At 45.2% G+C, this 6,000-nt stretch overlaps 1 protein-coding gene across 34 annotated transcripts in view, besides 2 other annotated features; it reads left to right on the top strand.

The window, feature by feature from the left end:
- TPK1 (thiamin pyrophosphokinase 1) overlaps nucleotides 3,183-6,000 on the top strand; it is a 384,497-nt gene continuing 381,679 nt past the window's right edge. For 14 of the 34 annotated variants that reach the window (XR_001744630.2, NM_001350893.1, NM_001350894.1 and 11 more), the window contains exons 1-2: nucleotides 3,567-3,653; nucleotides 4,002-4,060. Coding sequence is in view for 18 of the 34 variants with exons in the window: in NM_001042482.2 (NP_001035947.1) it covers nucleotides 4,018-4,060 (43 nt within the window). In the remaining 16 variants the exon portion in view is untranslated. Of the gene's footprint in view, nucleotides 3,449-3,566; nucleotides 3,654-3,679; nucleotides 3,917-4,001; nucleotides 4,709-6,000 lie in introns of those variants that run through there. The other 20 variants (NR_146934.1, NM_001350889.1, NM_001350885.1 and 17 more) reach the window with 9 other exon arrangements.
- Nucleotides 3,357-3,426: an enhancer, noted in NCBI's record as "active region_26797". NCBI's record gives its function as "activates an Ori minimal core promoter by ATAC-STARR-seq in GM12878 lymphoblastoid cells {active_cell/tissue: GM12878}" and the evidence as "EXISTENCE:reporter gene assay evidence [ECO:0000049][PMID:35858748]".
- Nucleotides 3,727-3,826: a silencer, noted in NCBI's record as "silent region_18731". NCBI's record gives its function as "represses an Ori minimal core promoter by ATAC-STARR-seq in GM12878 lymphoblastoid cells {active_cell/tissue: GM12878}" and the evidence as "EXISTENCE:reporter gene assay evidence [ECO:0000049][PMID:35858748]".

The raw sequence follows: 6,000 nt of genomic DNA, 5'->3' as shown, positions 1-6,000 counted from the left end.
GTTTTTGGGTGACCAGGTGCACTATTAATGAACAGTAATATTTGTAAAGGATTTTTTTTTTCTGAGCAGTAAAATAGTGGGTTTAAAATATTCAGTAAACCATGTTGTAAACAGATGTGTTGCCATTCAGGCTTCGTTGTTCCATTTCTAGATACAGGCAGAGTAGATTTAGAATAATTCTTTTTTTTTTTTTTTTTTTTTTTTTGAGACGGAGTCTCTCTCTGTCACCCAGGCTGGAGTGCAGGCCCAATTTCAGCTCACTGAAACCTCCACCTCCCAGGTTGAAGCGATTCTCCTGCCTCAGCCTCCTGAGTAGCTGAGATTACAGGCACCTGCCACTATGCCCAGCTAATTTTTGTATTTTTAGTAGAGACAAGGGTTCATCATGTTGGTCAGGCTGGTCTCGAACTCCTGACCTCGTGATCTGCATGAGCCACCGTGCCTGGCCAGATTTAGCATAATTCTTAAGGGCCCTAGGATTTTCAAAATGGTAAACAAGCACTGGCTCCAACTGACAACCACCAGCTACATTAGGCCTTAACAAGTGAGTCAGCCTGGCCTTTGAAACTTTGAAGCCAAGTATTGACTTTTCCTCTCTAGCTATCAAAGTCTTAGATGTCATCTTCTTCCAATAGAAGGTTGTTTCATCTCCATGAAAAATGGCCACCTTCATCAATGATCTTAGCTAGATTTTCTGGTCAACTTGCTACAGCTTCTTCATCAGTACTTGCAACTTCACCTTGCTCTTTTATGTTACGGAGATGGCTTCTTTCCTTAAACCACATGAACCTCTGCTATCTTCAAACTTTTCTTCTGCAGTTTACTCATTTCTCCCAGACTTTAAGATAATTCAGAATCAGGGCCTTGCTCTGGATCTGGCTTTGGTTCAAGGAAATGTTGTGGCTAACTGGATCTTCTACACGGACCACTCAAACTTTCTTCATAGCAATAAGGCTGTTTATCTTTCTTATCATTCATGTGTTTAGTGGAGTAGCACTTTCAGTTTTCTTAAAGAACTTTTGCTTTGCATTCACAACTTGGCTAACTGATACAAAAAGCCTAGCTTTCTTTTGACAAAACTTTCTCACTAATCTTGATCATTTCTAGCTTTTGATTTAAAGTGAGACACATGCAGTTCTTCCTTTCACTTAAACACTTAGAGGCCATTGTAGGAATATAAAATGGCCTAATTTCAATACTGTCGTGTCTTAGGGAATAGGGAGGCCCACGGGGAGAGAGAAACAGGAGAATGTACTGGTCCCGGGGCAGTAAGAAACACACAACATTGATCTATTAAGTTTGCCGTCTTATAAGGGCATGGCTGGTGGCACCCCAAAACAATGACAAGAGTAACATTAAGAATCACTAATCACAGATTGTAATGAATATATTAATGGAAATATTTGAAGTATTGTGAAAATTACCAAAATATGACGCAGAGACACGAAGCAGGTACACGCTTTCGGAAAAATGTTGCAGATAGACCTGCTTGATGCAGGCTTGCCACAAACTTTCAATTTGTAAAAGCGGTATCTGTAAAGCACAATAAAGCTAAACACAATAAAAGGAGGTATGCCTGTAATTCCTGGTATGAAGTACCATAATTCTCCATTTTTTTCCCATTATTTGTTAATTTATTTCACATTTACTGAACTTATCTTGGTGAGACACACTGTGTGGCTGGAGAAATAGCAGGGAAGGAAATAGACAAGGCTCCTGCCCTTAGAGAGCTAGCTCTCTAGTAGGGGGAGACAAATCATTAACAAGTAAACTGTGCTAGAGTGAGGATTCAAGGGCCAACAACTAAATTTTGGTCCTTGTTTTCCTGGAGCCTACATTTTAGGGTAATTAAATAAAATATAAAAGACCTCAACACTGACTGGAACATAATAATTGATCAGTAAGTGTAAATTTTTATTACTGCTTAAAAAATTGGTTACAATCTGCCATTGAATTCATTGTTCAAGATTTCGTTCTGAATATTGGTGATGTGTTTTTGCCATTTGACTACCTTCTATAATTTGCCTTGCCTGTTTATATCCTTGGTCATAATTTTTCTGGTTTGCCTTTTACTAATGGACATGTAGTTCTGAGGCAGAATAGGGTCTGGAGGCAGGGAATGTTAAGGCCGATTCATGCTGACTTCCTGGAACTAAATCAAATTGCAGTACTTCAGCAATGACAGGAAACATCCTCTCCATTTACACAGGGCTTATATCCAGTAAATGACTTTAAAATTTACTTCATCCTCTTCATTTACATAGGGCATAAGCCAAGTAACCAATGGAAACCTCTAGCTGGCATTTAAACCCCAGAACATTCTCTAACGGCACTCTTGAGCCCCTATCCTCGGGCGCTCCCAACCTATGGGGTGTACTTTCATCTTCAATAAATCTCTGTTTTTGCTTCATTCTTTCCTTGCTTTGTGCGTTTTGTCCAATTCTTTGTTCAAGACGCCAAGAACCTGGACACATCAACTGGTAACAGCTCTTCATAGGATAAACACATGGCAACCACTTGTCTATTACATGTGCAGATAGTTTCCTTGTACCCCAATTGTCTTTTAGGTTCATTAAGGTCATATTTAAACATGGACTTTTGAAATTTGTTGTAGCTAAACCCGTATATAAGCATTTAGGCTTCCTCCTTCTTTGGGTCTTTTCTTGTGGACTCCCATGCACATAGCTGTAAGCTTTTCCCCTGTTAAACTGTCTTAAGTCAATTTAACCTCTTAGGCCCAGGTGGAAACCTTAAGAGGGTAGAGGGAGATTAGGTTCGCTCACTATTGGAAAAGCCTGTATTGCAACAGTGACGCTCTGCAGCTGCAGATAGGTGGCTTAAAGTTTCTTCCAACAAAAACATTCTGTTTCCACAAAGCAAAGTAAGGAAAGCTCTTAACGGAGTGTTCCCTAAAGAAAGCTTTTTTTTTTTCTTTGAGATGGAGTCTCGCTTTGTCGCCCAGACTGGAGTGCACTGGTGTGATCTTGGCTCACTGCAACCTCCGGCCTCCCGGGTTCAAGCGATTCTCCTGCCTCGGCCTCCCGAGTAGCTGGGCCTACAGGCGCGCGCCACCATGCCCGGCTAATTTTTTGTATTTTTAGTAGAGACGAGGTTTCACCATGCTGGCCAGGCTGGTCTCGAACTTCTGACCTCATGATCCGTCCGCCTCGGCCTCCCAAACTGCTGGGATTACAGGCGTGAGTCACCGCACCCGGCCAGGAAGGAAAGCTTTTAACCCGACGGCTCAGGGAGGACACCGGTAGCAGGACTAGAAGCAGCACAGTGGAAAGTAAGTTTGGCTTGGAAGCTAGGTCAAGCATGGGTGATAGGGAATTCGCCACTTAGTTTGAAGCAAATGGCCTCCTTGTTAAAGCTGAGTGCAGAGGGCCCGGCAGCAGTACTACAGCTAGCAGAACCAGCCCAGAAAACGAAGCCTTGGAGACTTGAGGTGGGTAGTGCCGGACGCAGAGCACAGGGCGCGGCTCCCACTTGCCTCCGGCTCCCGGAAGCGGGCGGGGCCACCTCGCGTCCCGGGGGCTAAAACCTGCGAGCGAGGACCGCGCGCCAAGGCTCCTCAGCCGAGCGCCGAGCGGTCGATCGCCGTAGCTCCCGCAGCCTGCGATCTCCAGTCTGTGGCTCCTACCAGCCATTGTGTAAGTGCGACTGCTGCCGGGCGCGCGGGCCGCGGAAGGGGGCGGCCGCCTCTCGCTCCCCAGGTTCCCGGATGGTGATGGGTTCGCGGAGAGAGGCGGCAGGGGCAACCCCTCGGACCTCATAGCGGCCCGCGCGGCCGGTCTCCGGGGGCCCCCGCCCGCGGCGGTGCTGTAGGCGAGCCGTGGCGGGTCCCCAGCGCCGGGTGCTGCGCCGCAGCTCAGCTGGCTCCTGGGTCCCGGAGCGCGCCGCTGCCGAGTGCCAGGTTCAGGCGGCTCCCGTGCTGTTGGTTCTGCGCGATGTTTAATTAAAACTGAGAGTCTAACTTCACTTTTTTTTTTTTAATGCAGAGGCCAATAATCCGTTATGGAGCATGCCTTTACCCCGTTGGAGCCCCTGCTTTCCACTGGTACTGTATTTCTTTCCACGGTTTAGTGTCACTGACGTGCCCCTCCCCAGCGACGGGAACAGGTCGAAAGGACGGGGCTCTAGAGCCAGCGTGACTTCCAGCCTGGGTTCTGTCCCTGATTTCCTAGCTCTGTACCGCTAAGCATATCAGCCTCTCGCCGGTCTCATTTTCCTCATCTGAAAAATGAGCTTACGTATCAGTCCTTGCTGTGAGGACGAAATGACAAGATACAGTGTGTGTAGTCCGTGTGGAGCCCAGTAAGCGCTTCCCGGCTGTTGCGCCTCCACCAACAGCGCGAACAAATCTGGAACATAGCGGAACATTAGACATTGCAGGCATTAAGGACGGTCATCGTTGCCTGACCGTGATGCATTTTTAATCCATTGAAAGTGCCCCGAGCTTATCTAATAAAAGATTGGCAAATGATTATATCAAGTGTTTTAAATCTATATAACACTCAGGATATTTTATTCTTCTAAGATTTGAAATTACTGTGTAACCGAGTTCAGGCTGGGCTGCTCGCTGCTTGCAGAGCCAATCAACAAGGACGAAGGGCCCGGAAAGGAAAGTGACTACTTTCCAAAGCTAGCAATGGGGAAGTAGTCCAAGCTTCTGCCTTAACGAAACCATTTCAAATTTGGACAAAATGTAAGAGCTTATAAAGGGGCGCTTGGTATTGGGGCTCGGGGGCCCCAGTCTACGTGACTTGCTCAGATATTTATCTTGGGTTTTTGCCTCATCTGGTGAATGGGCTGGCGCCTGAGTATAACTGGGTTGCAAATTAACTGCAGCCTTGAAGTAATCTCCAGGTGGAGGAGAATTCAGTAGTCGCCTGAATTGTTTCAAGATTAGTCTCTGGAACTTCAGACGAACACATAATTAGATAAGGGAAACGTTGTGTAAGGGTGTTCGTGGGGGAAAGGAGAGCAAAGACTATTATCTCATTGTTAAAGGTAAGACAAGGCATCGCACAGGAAAGAGAAAAACTTTTGAAAATAAGACATTCAGGTACTTCACATGGAAATAGATGGAATGAATGAGTTTATGAGGCAGGTTGTTAGCATTCATTCTTGTGTAATAATTGACTACTGTGTGATAATTTGGTAATGTTAAAGTATTTTCAATTAACTATTAGTTTTTTCTCATAACTTTCGTAAATTTAAACAGAAAGTATAATTGTTTAAACGTTTACATTTGTTTTCTGTCAACATGAATTCATGGGTCGTGTTTTGGGCATTGAATTTAACTTGTACGTTTTTCCACATGCTGGGAATAGTAGGTGACATTGACTCCTTACTCCCAAGTCATGTTTTTGTTTGTGACAGGGTCTTGCTTTGTCGCCCTGGCTGGAGTGCAGTGGTGCCATCATGGCTCACTGCAGCCTCGACCTCCCATGCTCAAGCGATCCTCCCACCTTAACTTCTGGAGTAGCTAGGACTACAGGTGTGCACTACCCCACCTGGCTAATTTTTAAATTTTTTGTGGAGAAGGGGTCTCCCTGTGTTGCCCAGGCTGGTCTTAAACTCCTGGGCTCAAGTGATCCCATTCTCCTGCCTCAGTCTCCCAAAGTGCTGGGATTGTGGGTATGAACTACCACGCCTAGTTATGCTAAAAGCTTTATATACATATACATGTTTATGTCTTATTCTACAGGTGAAGGAAAACAGTTACATAACTAGAGTCTTAATCCCTTTATTATTTTAGTAGATTAAAAGGTTGAGTGTTTATTACTTTAAACAGCTTTTCAAAGTTAAAAAAAAAAAAAAAAAAGGCCAGGCGCGGTGGCTCAGGCCTGTAATCCCAGCACTTTGGGAGGCTGAGGCAGGAGGATCACCTGAGGTCAGGAATTCTGAGACCAGCCTGGCCAACATGGTGAAACCCTGTCTGTACTAAAAATAGTCTCTGCTAAAATTAGTTGGTTGTGGCGGCACACGCCTGTA

The sequence above is a fragment of the Homo sapiens genome, chromosome 7 (assembly GCF_000001405.40).
Source record: "Homo sapiens chromosome 7, GRCh38.p14 Primary Assembly".
NCBI classification, from domain to species: domain Eukaryota; kingdom Metazoa; phylum Chordata; class Mammalia; order Primates; family Hominidae; genus Homo; species Homo sapiens.
Note: the sequence above shows the minus strand (reverse complement) of the source record. Positions and strands in the feature narration are given on the sequence as shown.